Source organism: Homo sapiens, chromosome 8 (assembly GCF_000001405.40).
Source record: "Homo sapiens chromosome 8, GRCh38.p14 Primary Assembly".
NCBI lineage: Eukaryota > Metazoa > Chordata > Mammalia > Primates > Hominidae > Homo > Homo sapiens.
Genome location: NC_000008.11, coordinates 26,429,751 through 26,451,031, shown reverse-complemented (window position 1 = coordinate 26,451,031; position 21,281 = coordinate 26,429,751). Strand labels below are relative to the sequence as shown.

The window sequence follows — 21,281 nt, the reverse complement described above, 5'->3', positions numbered from 1 at the left end:
TAAGAATCCCTAGCAAAGAATCAACAAGTTGAGACCTTAAGTCTTAATGCAGATGCAATCTGTAAGGGTATTTTTTTTTTTTTTTTTTGAGATGGAGTCTCGCTTTGTCACCCAGGCTGGAGTGCAGTGGCAGGATCTCGGCTCACTGCAACCGCCGCCTCCTGGGTTCAAGCGATTCTCCTGCCTCAGCCTCCCAAGTAGCTGGAATTACAGGCGTGCACCACCAGTCCTGCTAATTTTTGTATGTTTAGCAGAGACGGGGTTTCACCATGTTGTTTAGGCTGGTCTCAAACTTCTGAGCTCGTGATCCCTCCGCCTCGGCCTCCCAAAATGTTGGGATTACAGGCGTGAGCCACCCACCGCACCTGGCCTGTAAGGGGATTCTTATTCATCCCCCAAACGGAGGCCAGCTAGGCCAGGCACCTGTTCTGTTGAACTCTGAGATGCCTCTTCTGTTTGATTCCATTTGACGCTTACCTGTGCTAGGAAAGTGCCCATTAGTGAGAAGCCTCTGGGTTGACTTCCTTCCTCCAGGAGGGAAAGGGACTAAGTTTATGAAGCAGCCACGCTGGGAAGGCCACTATACAGCTTCCCATATGTTACACATGTTCATCACCCTCAGAGATTGCCCCACTGGCATATGTGGACAAGTCAACGCTCAGAAAGGTTACCTCGACGCGTCACACATAGGTGAGGGCAGGGGTGGCCTCGTACCTGCACTTGGCAGGCTGCAGGAGGTGCTGCTCGCTGGCCCTGCCTGAGGCCTTCCCGGCTGCCTCCCGCCCCTCCTGTCCTGGACCCCAGCTAGCCGCGCGCCCGCCTCCACCACCTCGGCCCCCCTTTCTGGGGCACTCACGTCTCTATCGGCCAGATCTCCCCCATCTTTCCAGGCCCAAGCCTCCCCCGCGCTGACGCTCACAAACCCCGCAGTCAGACCCTCTTCAAGGACCCCCTACAGCTGCCCCTCTCTCAGGGTCCTTCGGGTGACCATGTAGTCGCACCCAGCAGGTCCTCGCTGGGGGGTCCATGAGTGTCCCCACCCCGCCGCCCCGCCCCTGGGCGCCGGGGACTCGGCTCAGACGCGCAGAGGGAAGGCAGGGCGGCTGCAGAGAGCAGAGCCGAAGAGGAATCGAAAGCTTCAGAAACGCGGTGTGACCAGCGTCCTCCTGGACAAACCTCCCCGGTCCCCGCGCCATCGCCGCGGCCACGAGCAGCGCCGCGGGTCGCCCCGCCCAGACCTCCGCGCCCGGAGCTCAGGCTCCGTCCTCTTCCCCAAGGAGCTGCTAATCACGCCCCAGGGACGTTGGCCTCTGGGGGAGGGGAGGACCCTAGGCCTGCGCCCGACTGCTGGGAGGCGCCCCGCCCTCCCTCCTCCTGCTCACCCCTCTCAGCTTCTCTCCCTTTTCTTCTCCTCCCCACTCAGCTCCGTTTTCTCTCCACACCCAGTCCCTTGTCCCCTCTTCGCTCACTCCACCCCACTTTCCTTCTTCCCTACGCAGTGGGTCCCTCTCCCCCTTTCCTCTCCCCTACAACCTCCCTCTCCACTCCCTACCGGCCCTCTCCCCTCCCCCACCCCGTACCCTCTGCCCCGCCTCCCCATTCGGGTCACCCCGTCCCAGTCCCCTCTTCTCCCCTCCTCCGCCCCTCCCTCCTTCTCCTCTCCCCTCTCCTGTCCCACTCCGTCCTCCCCCCTCCTCCGCACCCCGCCCGTCCCCTGGTCCCCGCCCCGCAGTGTCCTGGCGCCGGCGTAACCGCTCGTCCCACCTCCCTCCCAGCCAATCGCTCCTCTCCTCCGCTCGGGGACGCTCCCCCGGGGAATCCTGTGGCTGGAGATGCTCGGTCGAGTCCCTGGTATGTGGTCACCGTGCGGGGGCCGCTGCGGGTGCGGAATCCAGACCCGGGGGTGTAGCAACCTCACAACTCCCTGTGCAGAAGAAAGCAGAAGATCGGGGCGCGGGTCCAGGGTGGTCCGCACAGCCGTGGTTTAGCCGAGGGCGGCGCGCTACACTTAGTCTCTTGTGCAGTGCTTTCTGGCCACAGCAGCTTCCCTAGAAGTGACCCCACTTGGGTCAGAACCACCCAGCTGGGCCGCTGATATTTCCCCCTTTCGCAGAGGGAGCAGCGCGCGTCGGGAGACGCAGTGACTCGCCAGGGTCAGACCCAGAGCTTCTTCCCCACGCAAGGCCGAGGGCAGGGTGAGCACAGGGGCGTTCTCCGTCTGCCCCGGCTCGGGTGCACTGGCCTGGACGCCTCTGTGCAGGTTCCATGGTGTAGAGAGACGGCTCGAGTGCAGGCGGAGTTTAAGGGAAGGGGGTTTTGACTGCGGGAGCCGACAGAAAGGACTAAATCCAAAAGGTCCTCTTGGACCTGAACCTTCTGCTACAAGCCTGACCGATAAAAGGGGACTCTGCATCTTTTTAAGCCCAAAATAGAAAAGCCTTGGGAGTTAGAATGGCAGAAACCCCAGACCGACGGCGCTGGAAGCGCGCAGCTCGGTGCATTCCCCGGCCGCACTGCCCTGCGGGGCCGCGCACGTTCCAGCGCTCAGGGACGGTGCCGCAGGACACACCCCAAACACAGAGCACAGACGAGGTAAAAACGAGCCGGCTGCACCAGGGACCACGCTGCCCCTAGCTGGCTCTGCCCCAGCCTCTCTGAACAGCAGGTCCCTGCGTCGAAGCCCGAGGGTCTTCGCATTTGCTGCTGTGGCTTCTCCCGGATACCCACCCCCTTCAGATCTTACAGAAGGGCCTTCTTCCAAACCAGACCTTCCCTGTTCCCTGGCAACTGGTTTTAAAATCACAGCACCTCTGCTCCTGCAATTCACAGTCCCTCCTCAGTCCCTTCACTGCTTAGTTTTTTTTTCCTTAGCCCTTGCCGCAGTCAAACTCGAATGCGTTTGTGAATCACCTGAGGACCTTCCTACAACACAGATGCGAATTCACTTGGTCGAGGGTGGGTCCCCAAGTTTCTAACGCGTGTCCGTGATATTCTGCTGCTCCCCACCTGCCTGCGGATCTGCGAGGACCTTTGACTTACAAAGGGTCCAACATGCAGATAATACAAAAGTTTATTTTTCCTATGTATTTTGGTTTACCATCCCCCGAACTTGAATGTGAGTTCCACCAGGATAGAGCTCTGGTCTGTTTTGTTTGCTGCTATATTCTCTGTACCTGGAACAGGCCTGGCACATAGTAGGAGCACTATGTTATTTCCAGAAGGAAGCAGTGAATGAAATACAAACCAGAAAAGACAGCAGAGGTGATAAACCTAACATTATACAAAGTGAAAGTCAAGGTGCAAATTATGAACGAAACAAAGGTTTTACACTCATTTTTAAAAGGGAGAAATAACAGTCACAAGCCCTTAGGTCCTAAAGTAAAAACTGTCTCCCCAAAAAAGGAAAATTGCAAATACTACATTGATTTTAGAAAGGTTAACTCCCATCTTGGTCACATCTCAGAAGCAAAAAGTGACGTAAAAGACTTGAATAAAGAAATTAATGGCCAGGCGTGGTGGCTCATGCCTGTAATCCCAGCACTTTGGGAGGCCGAGGTGGGCAGATCACTTGACGTCAGGAGTTTGAGACCAGCCTGGGCAACATGGGGTAACCCCGCCTCCACTAAAAACGTAAAAATTAGCTGGGTGTGGTATCAGGCACCTGTAATACCAGCTACTCAGGAGGCTGTGGCAAGAGAATCAGTTGAACCTGGGAGGCAGAGGTTGCAGTGAACTGAGATTGTGCCACTTCACTCCAGCCTGGGCAACAGAGTGAGACTCGTCAAAAAAAAAAAAAAAAAAAAAAAGAATAAACAGGACCTGTGTATTTACTAGTTTATTGTTGTAAAATATGCATAACATAAAATTTACCATGTTAACCATTTTAAGTGTGCCGTTCAGTGGCATTAAGTACATCCACATTATTGTACAACCATCACCACTGTCCATCTCCAGGACTTTTTCATCTTCCCAAACTCTATATGATTAAACAATAACTCCCCTTCTCCTTCCCTCCAACCCGTGGTAATCACTATTATACTTTCTGTCTTTGAATTAGACTACTTTAGGTACCTCATATAAGTGGAATCATATACTGCTTATCCTTTTGTGACTGGCTTATTTTACTTAGTATGATGTCTTCAAGGTTGATCCATGTTGTAGCATGTATCTGAATTTCATTCCTTTTTTTTTTTTTTTTGAGACAGAGTCTCGCTCTGTCAACCAGGCTGGAGTGCAATGGTGCGATCTCAGCTCACTGCAACCTCCGCCTCCGTGGTTCAAGCAATTCTTCTGCCTCAGCCTCCCAAGTAGCTGGAATTACAGGTACCTGCCATCATGCCCGGCTAATTTTTGCATTTTTGTAGAGACGGGGGTTTCACCAAGTTGGCCAGGCCGGTATTGAACTCCTGACCTCAGGTTATCCGCCCACCTTGGCCTCCCAAAATGCTGGGATAACAGGTGTGAGCCACTGATCCTGGCCTCATTCCTTTTTTATAGCTGAATAATAACCCATTGTATGTATACACATTTGTTTCTCCATGCATCTGTTGATATACACTTGGGCTTCTTCTACCTTTTGGCTATTGTGACTAATGCTGCTATAAGCGTGGGTGTACAAACAGCTATTTAAGTTTCTGCTTTCAGTTTTTTTGGGAATATACCCAGAAACCCAGAAGTGAAACTGCTGGATCATATGTTTCATTTTTTGAGGAACTCGCATACCGTTTTCTGTAGCGGCTGCACCATGTGAACTAAGGTTAAAATGAATGTTTCGCCGTTGCTGGACTAGTTGTCCTAGGGTTTTTTCTAGCTCTGCTGGCCTGTGGTTAGAGAAATGTGAGGATGAACAACAGGGAAGGGAAGTGGATTGGAAGGACACGGGCAGTCTTCCAGCTCAGATGCTGGAAGTGGTGGTGGTGAGGGTGGGGGAAGGGTGTTTATGAAGTCATAATCCAGTCACGGACCTCAGGACATTTGGGCTGGGAGAGGTAGACCTAGGCCAGTTTGGAGTACTAGGCAATGGGGGCGGGGGGGTCCCTGCACCTCAAAGAGGCCTGAGAAAGAAGAACCTCACATGTATCAGGGAGTCCCAGAGAAAATGGTGCAAGGAGCAATGCCCAGTGGCCAGCCATCCTCAATGTCATGGCCCCGGAGGCCAGAACAGTAGAGAAATTCAAGGTGCGGAGACCGGCTCCCTCACATGGGCAACCTGGCCCACTGGCTCTTACCATTCATATATCTGTGAACATGGCCTTATTTGGAAATAGTATCGTAGCAGATCTGATTATGTAAAGATGAGGTCCTTTTGGATTAGAGTGGGCCTCATAAGACAAGGGGGTTGGGGCGCACAGACACACACCTGCCCTGTGGGCAGGTGAGGAAACTGGAGCAAATGCCAGCTCCCTGAACAGAACAGAGTGAGCCTGACAGTTGGGCATCTGTCCAAACCACACGAGCAGGCCCGGCAGGAAAAGTACCTGTCCAGTGGACAAGCGGCCCATGCAATCAGGACAGCTGGGAAGAGGCTGATGCTTTCAGCCACGCTTCATCTCCTTGTCCTCATTTGGGCAGAGGTAAAGAAAGAGCACTACTGGCTGCACATGGTGGCTCACGCCTGTAATCCCAGCACTTTGGGAGGCTGAGGCAGGCGGATCACTTGAAGTCAGGAGACCAGCATGGCCAACATGGTGAATTCTCATCTCTAACAAAAATACAAAAATTACCCGGGTGTGGTGGCACATGCCTGTAATCACAGCTCGGGGGACTGAGGCAGGAGAACTGCTTGAACCCAGGAGGCAGAGGTTGCAGTGAGCCGAGATCTTGCCACTGCACTCCAGCCTGGACGACAGAGCGAGACTGTCTCACATACATACATACATGCAAAAAATATTTTAAAAATAAAAAAGAAAGCGCACTGCCTAGCATCACTTTGGCAGATTCATCTCCACAACCTGTGATCATCCTGTTCAGTTGTTATGATTTGGACTAGGTGGGCCCATGGCTCAAAGGGTGGGAGTGTGACCCACGCTAGCCCATCAGGATACCACGAAGCCCTGGACACAGCAGTGGGGTGAGGCGTGAGCATGGGCCTTGTGTAAGCAGGAGTAGACTCCTAGTGGAAGGGTTGCTGCGGACTTTGGGGGAGACTGTTTCTTCTGGGATTGTCTTCTGTAAGCCAGATGCAACCAGGGTGGGCAGAGAGTAATCGTAGCCACCTCACAGTGAGATCCTTCCTGAGAATGAAGCAGGACATGCTCTCTACCAAGGACAGTAAAGCCACTCCACTCTACTTCAGACATTGCAAGCAGATAGACTCCCTGTTCCTCCTTTAAGCCAGAGGTTCTCTGACACTCTCAACTAGAGCTGCCCTCAAACACCTGTTGTGAGTTGAATCGGGTCCCCCCAAAAGATATGTCCAAGTCCTAACCCTAGGTATCTGTGAACATGGCCTTATTTGGAAACAGGATCTTAGCAGATCTGATTATGTAAAGACGAGGTCCTGTTGGATTAGAGTGGGCCTCATAAGACAAGGGGGTTGGGGCACACAGACACGCACCGGGGAGGATGCCACATGAAAACAGAGGCGGAGATGGGGGTGACGTGTCTACAGGCCCAGGAACACCAGGGATTGCCAGCAACTACCAGAAGCTGGGAGAAAGCCATGGAATTCCCCTCAGATTCTCTCAGAACCCCCAGAAAAAACCAACCCTCCTGACACCTGATCCTGGCCTTCCACCTTCCAGAACTGTGGGGGGAAAAATGCATGTTGTTTCCATCTGCTTTGTGGTACTTTGTTACGGCAGCCCCAGGAGACTAATGCAACACCTCACGTATGTGCTGAGCATGGCGACATCTCCCACCTCTTCCTTCCAGGAAACACGCCCAAGAGGCCTTTATGAAGGGGGAACTATGGTCTGCCATATTTACCTGAAGATGCAGTTTGGGCAGCTGTTTCCATCACATGCGGGGCCTCTGGGCTCTCCTGCCCGACTCTTCCCCAGTAGCTATGCTAAAAGCAATCTTAGAGTAGGCCCTCCTGATATCTGGCCTGGATTGCTGTAAATCATCTGCCTTCTGATTCTCTCTTGACCCATCCTCCACACCGCCTCTGTTTCCCAAATGGATTTTTATCATTCCTCGGATGAAACCTCTCTATTGATTACCTACGTTCTATAAGAAAATTCCAAGCTCTTCAACATGTCATTCAAGGGTCTGAAGAGTCTCATCTCCACTTCTCTGTGTCTTGTCTGCCCACACTTCTCTGCCACATGCCCTGTAATTTGATGATATTAAATTTTTTGATTGTAGGCTGGGGGCGGTGGCTCACGCCTGTAATCCCAGCACTTTGGGAGGCTGAGGCGGGTGGATCACTTGAGGTCAGGAGTTCAAGATCAGCCTGGCCAACATGGTGAAACCCCGTCTCTACTAAAAATACAAAAATTAGCCAGGCATGGTGGCAGGCACCTGTAATCCCAGCTACTGGGGATGCTGAGGCAGGAGAATTGCTTGAACCCAGGAAGCAGAGGTTGCAGTGAGCCAAGATCGTGTCACTGCACTCTAGCCTGGGCGACAAAGCAAGAATCTGTCTCTAAATAAATAAATAAATAAATAGCCTGTAAATGTTCCACACACTTTCACAGCTCCATGTTTTTGCAAATGCAGTTCTATGCAAAATGTTCTGCCTGCTAGTTGGCTCACACAGGATTCAGTCTAGCCCCCTTCACCTACCTGCCCTCCCATATACAGAAGAAGCTGGAGAAGTGAAATCCTCTCTTTCCTGGCTCCCTTGCTGCTAAGGATAGCCACATGACCCAGTTCTGGCTAGTGGGATATAAGCAGAAATCCACAGGAAGGTTTCTGCTTTCCTGATAAAAGGGGAAATCATAGCTGGCCTCCCCCTTTCTCCTTTCAGTGTGGACACGATGCCTGGAGCTGCTGCAGCCAACCTGCAGCCATGTCTTAGAGGACAAGAGAATTTTAGAAACCTTAGTCCCAACACCACTGAGCCAATGTACCACCTTTAGTGCCTACCTCTGGGCTTATTATATGAGAAAATAACCTTCTATTTGTTTAAACCTTACTAGTCATGTGTTCTATGACTTGCTGCTGAACGCATTTCTAATCAATACACTGGTACTGTTCATCTTTCTAGATCTTTCCAGGTAGCTTGTTGCTTCCTATGAGAAGTATTCCCAAACTTCCTGGTCAGACTATGACTTCCTCCTGGAAGCATCCATGACACTGTGTACTTACCTGGGTTGCAGTACACATCACGCTGTAACTAATTGCTTACTTCCTGCATAGGCTGTGAGCTCTGATATTATTCTTTGTGTAGAATAATATCATGCATGCTGGGACCTAGCAGAGTGGCTCACACAGAGCAGCGGCTCCTAAAATGCATCGCAAGTGAAGAATTCCATTTCCAGGAGGATATCATGCTATATTATAACCTCTGGCTAGGCTTCTCACCCTTTGAAATCTACAATGGCTGACTAAACTTGCTAACTCATTTCTATAGGCAGAATGTGCTCTGCAAGCCAATCTATCCCCCAGATATTTGTCGAGGTCTCAGGCACAAGCTGCTATGGTATGCTCTGTACAGGATAAAAAAAGAAAGAGAATATTTTAATATGGAAGTTAATGTTTCCCTTGCATGTCTTTAATAACATAGCCAAGGGTGGCCAGGCGTGGTGGCTCATTCCTATAATCCCAGCACTTTGGGAGGTCGAGGTGGGTGGATCACTTGAGGTCAGGATTTCAAGGCCAGCCTGGCCAACATGGTGAAACCCATTCTCCACTAAAAATAAAAAAGTTAGCCAGGAGTGGTGACACATACCTGTAGTCCCAGCTACGTGGGAGGCTGAGGCAGAAGAATCTCTTGAACTTGGGTGGAGATTGCAGTCAGCTGAGATCACGCCACTGCACTCCAGCCTGGGTGACAGAGTGAGACTCCTTCTCAAAAACAAACAAACAAACAAAACATAGCCATGGGTGTGGAAGCAAGACATATTTGTAATATTTGCTTAGAACGGTACTTCTCAATCCTGGCTATGTTAGAATGACATGGGAGCTTTAAAAACTACAAATGCCCAGGTCCTATTTTCAGAGAGTCTGATTCAGCTGGTCTGGTCCCCTCTCCCTAACCCCTAATCTTATTTTTTAAAGCTTCCTAGGTGATTGTAACATGTAACCAGGGTGTGCACCCCTGATTTAAAAGAAGGATAAGTGTGGACTGGGAAGATTTCTTGGAGGATGTGACCTATGGGTCTTGAAGTACAGGGGACATTTGGACAACAGGGAGAAGAGGTATTTGAGGAATGAGGATTGCTGAGTGAGGAGAGGCAGGAATAAAGCTTCAGTGTGGCTGTCAGCCAATCAGCCACACTGGGGGATTTTTAAATTTCTACTAAAAATTGAAAAATAAAAAAATAAATTAGGCAGGCTTGGTGGCATGCATCTGTAGTCCTGGTTGTTTGGGAAACTAAGGTGGGAGGATCACTTGAGCCCGAGAGGTTGAAGCTGCAGTCAGCCCTGATCACGACACTACACTCCAGCCCAGGTGACAGATTAAAACCCTGTCTCGAAAAAATTAAAACTAAAAATAAGTTCCAGCGGGCAGACAGCAGAAGGAGACGATCTCAGGAGGCAGCAGAGGCAGCGGACAGTTGGGGAAACAGCCCCAGCCCCGGGCTCAGGAGCCCTGCACTTCCGCCCTGATTTCATCCCCACTCCACTGTGTACCCTTGTGCATGGCATCCGCGGGGTCTGTCACTTCCCTACCTGCAAACCAGATGCTTCCTGCCTCCCGTGATCTTCCCGGTCTGATTTTTCACATTTGTGTTCTGAACACCAGGCCAGGCCTGCGTGAGTCAGGACAAAAGTTAGATGGCTGCCTCCCCTGTCCCGCCTGCCCCTTCCCCCACAGCCGCTACAACTATGGAATTGGCAACCTCGCTGCACTGTGCAATGCAGAGCAGGAGGCAGAGGAGGGAAGTTGGTGGGAAACGGCATGAAAGACACCGGGCGAGCAGACAGCACTGTGCGAAGGAGGAGCTGTGCCGGACCCAGGGCCCCACTGCCAGGCCACTGCGGTGAGGGGGGCTGCCCCTTGCCCAGGATGGCCTTGCACTGAGTGGAGCCACCTTGCTCCCCACAGCCAGGACTGACTGATACCAGGAGGCAAGGCCCTCGCCTCAAGGTGTGACATCACAGCTCTGCGGTGTGGCTTATGTTCCAGAACCGTCCCCGGTGGATTAAGCCAAACATAAGCTTTACTTGAGACCTCATCTTTGCTGGGCCCAGCTCTTCCCCGTATCTGTCCGCTTACCTCTCTCCAGTACAGCTTTTCCTGCACAGCGCTCGTTCAATTAACCACATTCATGTTTGTCTCAGGTTCTGTTTCTCAAGACTTGATCTAAGACACGGTGCTTTCAATAAATAAAAGAAAATGCCACGGACAGATAAAACGTGTATGGGAGGCGACCACAAAACAGGGGCTAAAGGAAACTCCCAGATTCATTTTAGAAAAAGAAGAAAAGAGAGTTACAAGAGTCTGATTGTGGGGGAGGGAAGCAGAGAAAGAGCAGCTTCCTGTTTGTGTCTGGAGTGCAGCACACTGAGCAGTGTTTTGCCTGGTTTATTTCCAAAGTATTGCAGGGCAGCTGAGAGCTTCCACAGTAAGGATCAACCCATCTTTTTGACCAGCCCCGGTCAATGAATTACCTGACTCATGCAAGTCAGTAGACTCCACCTGTTCTTTGTTTTTCGGTTTTCGTTGTCTTTTTTAAACAGAGTCTTGCTCTGTCACTCAGGCTGGAATGCAATGGAGTGATCTTGGCTCACTGAAACCTCCGCCTCCCGGGTTCAAGTGATTGTCCTGCCTCAGCCTCCTGAGTAGCTGGGATTACAGGCACGTACCACCATGCCCAGCTAATTTTTGTATTTTTAGTAGAGATGGGGTTTCACCATGTTGCCCAGGCTGGTCTCAAACTCCTGGCCTCAAGTGATCTGCCCGTCTCGGCCTCCCAAAGTGCTGGGCTTACAGGCGTGAGCCACCGTGCCCAGCCAGTAGATCCTTTATGATGTACCTCACTTAAAAGCTACATTTTAAACGGAATAGTCAAACTCCAATAATGACTGTGGTCTTTTTCCTTTTAGAGACCAGACTGATCTACTAATAGTGTAATTCAAAGATGGCTACAAAGGCCAAAACTAGCCAAACCCTCCTGGCCCACTGTGACCACTAAGGTTCCACCTACAAGGACCTAGTGAAAGTCTAATAAAAAGCTGCCTGGCTGGGTGCAGTGGCTCACACCTGTATGTAATCCCAGCACTTTGGGAGGCAGAGGCGGGTGGATCACTTGAGTCCAGGAGTTCGAAACCAGCCTGGGCAATATGGCAAAACTCTGTCTCTACAAAAAAATACGAAAATTAGCTGGGCACAATCACACACAACTGTAGTCCCAGCTACTCAGGAGACTGAGGTAGGGAGGATCGGTTGAGCTGGGAGGTGGAGGTTGCAATGAGCTGAGATCTTGCCATTGCACTCCAGCCTGGGCTATAGAGTGAGACGCTATCTCAAAAAAAAAAAAAAAAAAAAGATAACAGCACTGGGGTCGTCACCAGATCAGAAAGCCAGGAAGAGGGTGCTGCCCAGACCCAGGGTGCCTGGCACTGGCACCCAGCCCCAAGCTCAGCCCAAGCACCTCCTGCCTCTCAGGGCTGGCTGGAGTTTGCTCCCTGATGGGAGACCTGGATTACCCAACCGTCCTCAGACCATATAATACCTAAGTACTTGAGGCACTTCTGACTATTGTCAGCTGAGTCTTGGCTCAAGTTTTGTCGACAAAACGGATTAATTTATAACTAAGGTTAAAAACTCTTAAGTGAAAGTTAACTGATTCTGCCCATTTTCAGGGGAGAATGAGAGACACCTCAGAAGCAACTATGGTGGCTACTGGAGGGTCACATGAGGGATCATGTGGGGACAAGCCCAGATGGTGGACTCTTAGGGACAATTGTTTATAAAATGAGCCAAGCATGGTGGCTCACCCCTATAATCCCACCACTCTGGGAGGCCGAGGCAGGAGGATCACTTAAGACCAGGAGTCCAAGACCAGCTTGGGAACATGGCAAAATCCCGCCTCTACAAAAAATACAACAAAATTGGTGGGGCATAGTGGCACATGCCTATAGTCCCAGCTGCTCGGGAGGCTGAGGTGGGAGATCACTTGGGCCCAGGAGGTCAAGGCTATGGTGAGCGGTGATCACACGACTGTATTTCAGCCTGAGCAACAGAGTAAGACCCTGTCTCAAAAAAAATAAACATAGAAATAAAATGAGTGTGCATCTTACTAAGGTGAATGTGTTTAGAGAACAATCATAACTGACATTCACTGAGCACCTGCTGCTTCTGGACACTGCCCCATACTCTACACGTATCAGCTCAGTTAATCCTCACAATAAACAGATACTATTATCATCCCCCTCCCTTTTTATTGTGGTAAAATCTACATTACATTTGCCATCTTAACCATTTGTAAGTGTACAGTCCAGTGCCAATTAAATGCACACAAATTGTTGTGCAATCATCACCACCATCCACCTCCGGAATGGTTTCATCTTGCAAAACCATAATGCTATGCCCATTAAGCAATCATTCCCTCCTCCCCTTCCCCAGCCTCTGGCAACTCCATCTACTTTCTGTCTCTATGAACTTGACTCCTCTATGTACCTCATATAAGTGGAATCACACAGTACTTTCTTTTTGTGTCTGGTTTATTTCACTTAGCATAATGTCCTCAAGCTTCACCCGTGTTGTGTGTAGCATGTGTCCAAATTTCATTTCTTTTTAAAGCTAGATAATATTCCCTTGTACATTCAGCCGCCATTGTTTATCCGTTCATCCTTTGACGGGCACTTGAGTTGCTTCCACGTTTTGCCTATTCTGAATAGTGCTGCTGTGAACACAGGTGGGCAAGCATCCCTTCCAGCCCCTGCTTTCACTTCTTTGGGGGTAGCCAGAAGTGCAACTGCTGATATTATTTACAGAAGAAGAAGAAATCAGGTGCAGGAGATTAGGCGACTTGCCTAAGTCTGTGTGACTAAGTGTCAGAACCAGGATTCCTCCCGAGCAGACTGGCTCCAAGCTCCTGGCTCCGGACCACCGTGCTCACTGCCTCTCACTTTCTGAGATGACTGCACCTGGAAGGTTACAAACAGTGGCCATGCTGACCAGCAGAGGGCATGCCTCAGCCTCTCACGGGGTCCCCCATCTTCTCCGCCCTCCACATCTGTGGCTTGCAGAGATCACTCACTGACATGATGAAATGTCCTTTAGAAGGGCCGGGTGTGGTGGCTCATGTCTGTCATCCAAGCACTTTGGGAGGCCGAGGTGGGTGGATCACTTGAGGCCAAGAGTTCAAGACCAGCCTAGCCAACATGGTGAAACCTCACCTCTACTAAAAAAAAAAAAAAAAAAAAAAAAAAATACAAAAATTAGGCAGGCATGGTGGCGCATGCCTGTAGTCCCAGCTAATCGGGAGACTGAGGCAAGAGAATCACTTGAACCTGGGAAGTGGAGGTTGCCGTGAGCCAAGATCATGCCACTGCACTCCAGCCAGGGCAACAGAGCGAGACTCCATCTCGAAAAAAGAAGGGAAATGTCCTTTAGAGACTGGATATTCCACTTCTCTCCACGCAGCTGTAAAACAGAAGCTGGTTCACTCCCTCCCCTGCCAAACCTGTCATTGTGTCCCATTGCTCTTAGAGATCAATATCTCTAAGATTATTATGGTCCACCCTGGTGTGATCCTGCTGCTTCTCCACCCCATCTTTGCTTCTCCCTGACATTCATATGTTTCCATCAGATCCCACCTTCTTCCTATCCTCAGCCATGTGATCATAGGCTGACTAATGGCCACCCAAAGATATCAGGGCCTAATCCCTGGAACTTGAAAATATTAAAGTGGTGCAAAAGTCATTGCAGTTTTTGTCACTACTTTCAATGGCAAAAACCTCAATGACTTTTGCACCAACCTCATACTACCTAATAAGGAGAAAGGGCCTTTGCAGGTGTGATTAGGGTAAGGATTTTGAGATGAGGTGCTTGTCCTGGATTAGCTGGGAGGGCCCTAAATGCCACCGCAAGTGTCCCATAAGAGAGAAGCAGAGGGAGATCAGACACACAGAGGAAAAGGCTACGTGAAGACCAAGGCTGAGGTCACAGTGATGCAGCTACAAGCTGTGAACTCCTGCAACCACAATGGCTACCTCAGGGCCTCTGCACTGCATACTTGCCAGTCTCTACCTCTGCAAGGCTGGCTTCTTCCTGTCTTCAGACCTCAGCACAAGTTTAGGTCTTACCCCCTTAGAGAGACCTTTTCCGCCTTCCAGACCTCCCTAGCAAGCCTCCATCACGCTCTATGACCCCACCCTATTTATTTTCTTCCTACCCTATCACTACTATTATTTATTTCCTTCTATCTTATTTGTGTCTTACTATAAATAGGCATTTCTAATTTGACATAAATATAAATATAATAAATAAATAAAGGTTTATATTAGATCTTATTTTTTTGCCTCCTGCTTTAATCCATCAGAGCAGGGACTTTCTCTGTCTTCTTTGATGCTGAAACCCCAGTGCCTGGAACACTGCTGCATTTGCTAAGGATACCACAACAAAGTACCACACAGACTGGATGACTTCAACCATAGAAATTTAACTTCTCAAAGTTCAAGAGGCTAGAAGTCCATGGCCGGGGGCGGTGGCTTACATCTGTAATCCTAGCACCTTGGGAGCCTGAGGCGGCAGATCACTTGAAGCCAAGAGTTCCAGATCAGCCTGGCCAACATGGTGAAACCCTATCTTTACTAAAAATACAAAAACAATGGCCCGGCTCAGTGGCTCACACCTGTAATGCCAGTACTTTGGGAGGCCAAGATGGGGCGGATCTCTTGAGGTCAGGAGTTCGAGACCAGCCTGGCCAACATGATGAAACTCCGTCTTTACTAAAAATACAAAAAAGAGGCCAGGTGTGGTGGCTCACTCCTGTAATCCTAGCACTTTGGGAGGCCGAGACAGGTGGATCACGAGGTCAGGAGATCGAAACCATCCTGGCTAACACGGTGAAACCCCATCTCTACTAAAAATACAAAAAATTAGCTGGGCTTGGTGGCAGGCGCCTGTAGTCCCAGCTATTCGGGAGGCTGAGGCAGGAGAATGGCGTGAACCCGGGAGGCGGAGCTTGCAGTGAGATGAGATTGCACCACTGCACTCCAGCCTGGGTGACAGAGTGAGACTCTGTCTCAAAAAAAAAAAAAAAAAAAAAAAAATGGTGGTGCATGCCTGTAGTCCCAGCTACTCAGGAGGCTGAGGCAGGAGAATTGCTTGAACCCAGGAGACAGAGGTTGCAGTGAGCTGAGATCACACCACTGCACTCCAGCCTGGGCCACAGAGCGAGACTCTGTCTCAAAAAAAAAAAAAAAATTACCAGGGCATGACGGTGGGCATATGTAATCCCAGCTACTTGCCAGGCTGAGGCAGAAGAATCACTTGAACCCAGGAGGCGGAGACTGCAGTGAGCTGAGATCATGCCACTTCACTCCAGCCTGGGCAACAGAGGGAGACTCCATCTCTAAATAAATGCATAAATAAATAAAAGAAGTCCAAGAGCAAGGTATCAGTGGATTTGGTTTCTTCTGCGGCCTCTCCCCTTGGCTTGCAGAGAAGCAGCTTTCTGGCCGTGTCCTCGCGTGGCCTCAGTTCATGTGCATCTGTGGTGTCTCTTTCTGAGCGTCCTAATCTCTTCTCGTAAGGACATCAGTCAGATTGGATTAAGGACCAGGGTAACCACTTCCTTCTAACTTAATCACCTCTTTAAAGGACCTGTCTCCAAATATAATCCCAGAGCTTCAACAATGGTGAATTTGGGGAGGGCGCGATCCAGCCCCTAATAACCACCTCACATATGTTAATCCTGGGCATGCAGCAACCATGCTGTTAGGTGAATGCTAATGCTATGATCACACCAACAGAAACATAAATGAAAGAGGGAAGTTGGAAAGCCACAAAAGAAAAGCTCAAATGGACAGAAAACATAAAAATATGTCCAATCTCATTAGACTCAAAGAAAATACATATTAAGGCAACAATGAGATACTATCACTTGCCTAACAAAATGGCTGAGATTTAAAAGAATGGACAATAGTTGCCTGTAGGAGTGCAGACGTGGAACACACCTTCTGCAAAACAACTTGACATGAAGCACAAAGTACAGAGTTCCATGGGATGGGCAGTCTCCCTTAAAGAAGTGACCTGAAGGTAATTCTTAGTCAAGTGAAGAGAGAGAGAGGAACAAATGAGGCAGAAAGAACAGTCTGATTACGTCTCAAAGCCACAAAGTACAGTGCCTTCAAAGAGGTAGGAGAGTCCTATTCAATATAGTACTGGAAGTCCTAGCCAGGGCAATCAGGCAAGAGAAATAGATCAAAGGCATCCAAATTGAAAAACAGAAAGTCAAATTGTCCCTGTTTGCAGATGACATGATCTTATGCCTAGACAAATCTAAAGACTCCACCAAAAATCTTAGATTTGATAAATGAATTTAATATAGTTGCAGGATGCAAAATCAATATACAAAAATCAGTGGCATTTCTGGCTGTGCTTGGTGGCCCATGCCTATAATCCTGGCATGATTGGGATGCCAAGCTGGGAAGACCGCTTGAGGCCAGGAGTCTGAGACCAGGCTGGACAATATAGGAAGACCCCATCTCATTTTTTTCAAAATTAAAATTTCAGAAATGAGGCAAAGGAAAGCACGAGGAGCCGCTGCCGCCACCAGCACAGCAGTGCCTGGAGCCGGGAAGAGATCCGGGCCGCCACCCCTGCATCCCGCCACCAGCCGCCTGCATCCCGCCACCAGCCGCCTCTGTCCTCGGACCAATACCAACAATCTCTTAAAACACGGTGGATGACTAGGAAGTTCTCGGTGTGCAGAGACATGCCTCACCGGAGGATGTTACAAAGGCATATCAGAAACTGGCCCTGAAGTGGCACCCAGATCAATAAAGAAGAAGCAGACAGAAAACTCAAACAAGTAGCGGAGGTGTTATGAAGGGCTGTCAGATGCTAAGAAACGGGACATCTATGACAAATGTGGCAAAGAAGGATGCACTGGTGGAGGGGGAGGTGGAAGTCATTTTGATGGTCCATTTGATTTTGGCTTCACATTCCGTAACCCAGATGATGTCTTCAGGGAATTTTTTGGTGAAAGGGACCCATTTTCATTTGACTTCTTTTGACGACTTTTTTGGGAATTGAAGGGGTCCCTGAAGAAGCAGACGCCGAGGGATGGGGTCGTTTTTCTCCACATTCAGTGTATTTCCATCTTTCGGAAATGAATTTTCTTCTTTTGATACAGGATTTACTTCATTTGGGTCACTAGGTCAGGGAGACCTCACTTCATTCTCTTCTACATCATTTGGTGGTAGTGGGATGAGCAACTTCAAATCGATATCAACTTCTACTAAAATGGTTAATGACAGAAAAATCACTACGTTTCCTAAGGCCTCCCCAGCCATGCGGAACTGTGAGTCAATTAAACCTCTTTCCTTTATAAATTACACAGTCCCAAGCATTTCTTTATAGCAGTATGAAAATGAACGAATACACTCTCCTTTCTTTTTCACTTCCCCTTTATCCCTCACAACTCCCGCTACTGCCCCCTCCCAACGAACAGGGATTCTCACACAGGTCCTACGGCAGGACCCATGCTTACCAGGCCTCTGGCTCTTTCTCCCAGCTCCAGAATCCCTAGGTCTCATTTTGGAAACAAATTTATGTCTAGCTATTAATAGATAATATTTCATAGCATTACCTCTTTTATGTAATATATTTGCACTTAAATTTGACTTCGAGAGACTGCAAAGAGAATTGTCGAGAATGGTCAAGAAAGGGTAGAAGTTGAAGAAGACGGCCAGTTAAAGCCCTTAACAGTAAGTGGTAAGGAACAGCTGCTGCGCTTGGGTAACAAGTAATTCAATGCATGCTCTTAACAGAAATGTTAAACTGTAGCAAGCATCATTTGAGGATTAACAGGAACTTTTTTTTTTTTGAAGACTTCAAATGAACTCCACTTTCATTATCATTATACCTAATCTAAAGAATTTATAAACAACCCATCAGAACCTCTATTTGTCATAGACTTTTGAGTTTATTGTTGGGACAACATAAAAGGACCATTTTTTTGTCTTTAAAATTATTGTAAATCTCTGTATGCTCTTTGTTTTTTTATTAAATGTACTCCAAGGTGACCCTGACTTTAGTGTAGGAGAAGATTGCACACTAACACCAGCATGGATCTGCTTTTCCATTGTGTCTGAAATGTGAGCTACGTAGTGTCGGTCTGCTGTGAAGTTAACATTGCCAGGACAAATCTTCTACAGAAATAATTTCAATGTTTTTTCAGTATTTAGTAGTGAAAGATATTAATGCATTAATGGTAATACATTTCTGGTTTAATATAAATTAAAAATGGCCGGGCGCTGTGGCTCATGCCTGTAATCCCAGCACTTTGGGAGGCCAAGGCGGGCAGATTACTTGAGGCCAGGAGTTCAAGTCCAGCCTGGCCAATATGGTGAAAGCCCGTCTCTACTAAAAATACAAAAGTTAGCCAGGCGTGGTGGCGTGTGCCTGTAGTCCCAGCTACTCAGGAGGCTGAGGCAGGAGAATCACTTGAACCCAGGAAGCAGAGGTTGCAGTGAGCCAAGATCATGCCACTGTACTCCAGCCTAGGTGACAGAGCGAGACTATGTCTCAAAAAAAAAAAAAAAAAACCTGCACTTGTATGTTTATCACAGCACTATTCACAATAGCAAAGATACGGAATCAACCTAAGTGTCCATCAGTGATGAATGGATAAAGAAAATGTGATACATATACACCATGGAATATTATTCAGCCATTAAAAAATAATGAAATCACGTCTTTTGCAGCAACATAGATGGAACTACAGGTCATTATCTTAAGTGAAACAAGCCAGGCACAGAAAGTCAAATATCACATGTTCTCACTCTTAAGTAGGTTCTAAAAAATGTCCACACATGCAAATTAAGAGTGGAATGATAGACCACGGAGACTGAGAGGGTGCGGGGGGAAGGGTAGATGGTGAGAAATTAGTTGGTGGGTACAACATATGTTATTCAAGTGATGGATACCCCAAAAGTTCTGATTTGACCACTATGCAATCTATGCATGTAACAAAACTGCACATAAACACCATCAATTTATACCAAAAATAAAGGTGGGAGAGGAAGGAGGGGAGCTGCCTGGCTGTGCTTTCTCTCATAGACCGGGGTCAGCATGAATGTCATCTTCCTCCCCAAAATCCAACTATACTAACATCTACACTCACATCTAGTGCATCGCACTTTTATTTTCTTGATTGTACTTATCTAAAATGACCTTTATTATAGAATGTATCAAAATATCTGCTTATATATTTGTTTTCTGCCCCACTAGACAAGAGCAGGAGTTTGGCCTTTACACTAATAGTATCAGTAAGCCACTGAAAGGATTTAAGCAAAAAGTGATATGATCGGCTGGGCACGGTGGCTCACACCTGTAATCCCAGCACTTTGGGAGGCCGAGGTGGTGAATCACCTGAGGTCAGGAGGTCGAGACCAGCCTGGCCAACATGGTGAAACCCCGTCTCTTACTTAAAAATACAAAAATTAGCTGGGCGTGGTGGCAGGCGCCTGTAATCCCACCTACTTGGGAGGTTGAGACAGGAGAATTGCTCGAACCCATGGGGCGGAGGTTGCAGTGAGCCGAGATCACGCCACTGCACTCCAGACTGGGCGACAAGAGCGAAACTCAGCCTCAAAAAAAAAAAAGAAATAAAAGTGGTCTGATCAGATTTGCATTTCAGAAAGAGTATAGTGACCAAACCAAGGGAGGAGCAGCAGGAAGACAGGAAAGTAGAAGGATGCTGGAAAAATAATGGAGTCAGAGTCAACAGACCGGTGACACAACAGACCTGCAGGGAAGCGAAAGAGAAGGAAGTATAGGTCCCGCCCAGCTTGGGGCTTGAGCAGGTGAGTGGTGGCAACTTTCCAGGGGAGATAAGGAACAGGAGGAGGGGCTTCAGGAGAAGAGACTGGCATGTCTTATGCTAGACAGGGTGAGACTGAAGTCCTAGGAGAGATCCTTGGGAAGACCCAGCAGGCAATAAGCATATAATGGTATTATCTACAAGTCAAAACGGGAAGCCAAAACCTATGTTAGGGAGAGATTGCCCAAGTGGGGTGCCCAGGACCGGTCCACCCCGCCCCAACCTCATAGCCGTGACCAACTATTACTGCATCAGTTTGCTACTAAAGCATCAGGAACTAAGGTAGAGGCCATAGGCCTGCCCAAACATGGACATGTTACAAGCTCCAGGGTGTCCCGGCAGCTTGGAAGTTGAGCCCTGTCTCTAGATAAGGCTGATTCTGGGAGAAAGGCTTTCATAGACATTTTATAAGATCCAAAAATTATAGCAGAGTGTCTTCTGTAGAGGGTCTTCCCCACACTGTCAACACTTACCTGCAAATTAGGGCAGGGGGAGGGTGCCTTCTCAGAAGACACAATTTTTCTCTTTACCGTAGGTGTTGGCAAACCTTTTCCCAATTTATCATTTATCTTTTGACTTTGTTTATGGTATTTCTCATACATAAGTTTAATTTTTTTGGTAATCAAATTTATTTTTATTTTTTATTTACTTATTTTTTTAAAATAGAGTTGGAGTCTAGCTATGTTGTCCAGGCTGGTCTTGAACTCCTGGCCTCAGGCCATCCTCCTGCCTCTGCCTCCCAAAGTGCTGGTATTACAGGTGGTAATCAAATTTAAATAATCAAGTATTTTCCGTAGGATTTCTGAGGTTAAGCATGAGGCTCCTAATGTTCAATAAGGTCCCCTTTTTCTTTGTTTTTTTTTATGAGTCAATTCTGAGAATCACACAAGATCTTGAACTCACAAGGACAAGATGGGATCAACAATAACTTAGGCAAAAGATTCTATTTTCTGCAGTAGCCAGGCTGTGGTTTGCCGACTTCACTGAATTTTTTAAAATTCAGTGTTATATTTATTTTAGGGATATTGTTGAGAACGTGCCCTTTTTTTTTAACACCTCTAAGGAAAAAATATTTTTTCAGGCATCACTGATCAAAACTATGCAGTCAGCTTGCTTTCAGTTTTTTGGGCTGTGTGTGTGTGTGTGTGTGTGTGTGTGTGTTTTCTTTCA

General features: G+C 48.3%; 1 protein-coding gene and 1 pseudogene across 1 annotated transcript, besides 4 other annotated features; both read left to right on the top strand.

The window, feature by feature from the left end:
- Positions 1-605: 605 nt before the first annotated feature.
- LOC124901868 (vegetative cell wall protein gp1) lies at positions 606-3,836 on the top strand. Its single transcript, XM_047422506.1, has 2 exons — positions 606-690; positions 1,032-3,836. The coding sequence occupies exons 1-2, from the start codon at positions 606-608 to the stop codon at positions 1,907-1,909; spliced, it is 963 nt and encodes a 320-aa protein (XP_047278462.1). The 3' UTR covers positions 1,910-3,836.
- Positions 1,175-1,374: a silencer, noted in NCBI's record as "silent region_19042". NCBI's record gives its function as "represses an Ori minimal core promoter by ATAC-STARR-seq in GM12878 lymphoblastoid cells {active_cell/tissue: GM12878}" and the evidence as "EXISTENCE:reporter gene assay evidence [ECO:0000049][PMID:35858748]".
- Positions 1,545-1,614: a silencer, noted in NCBI's record as "silent region_19041". NCBI's record gives its function as "represses an Ori minimal core promoter by ATAC-STARR-seq in GM12878 lymphoblastoid cells {active_cell/tissue: GM12878}" and the evidence as "EXISTENCE:reporter gene assay evidence [ECO:0000049][PMID:35858748]".
- Positions 2,595-2,644: a silencer, noted in NCBI's record as "silent region_19040". NCBI's record gives its function as "represses an Ori minimal core promoter by ATAC-STARR-seq in GM12878 lymphoblastoid cells {active_cell/tissue: GM12878}" and the evidence as "EXISTENCE:reporter gene assay evidence [ECO:0000049][PMID:35858748]".
- Positions 9,937-10,066: an enhancer, noted in NCBI's record as "active region_27127". NCBI's record gives its function as "activates an Ori minimal core promoter by ATAC-STARR-seq in GM12878 lymphoblastoid cells {active_cell/tissue: GM12878}" and the evidence as "EXISTENCE:reporter gene assay evidence [ECO:0000049][PMID:35858748]".
- On the top strand, positions 16,961-18,388 carry DNAJB6P2 (DNAJB6 pseudogene 2; annotated as a pseudogene).
- Positions 18,389-21,281: the final 2,893 nt, after the last annotated feature.

Bases quoted from the DNA above. Each gene is read 5' to 3' on its own strand.
- LOC124901868 (XM_047422506.1), top strand. From the start codon at position 606: ATGTTCATCACCCTCAGAGATTGCCCCACTGGCATATGTGGACAAGTC. The intron at 691-1,031 runs GTGAGGGCAGGG...GGGGTCCATGAG, and splicing joins CCTCGACGCGTCACACATAG to TGTCCCCACCCCGCCGCCCC.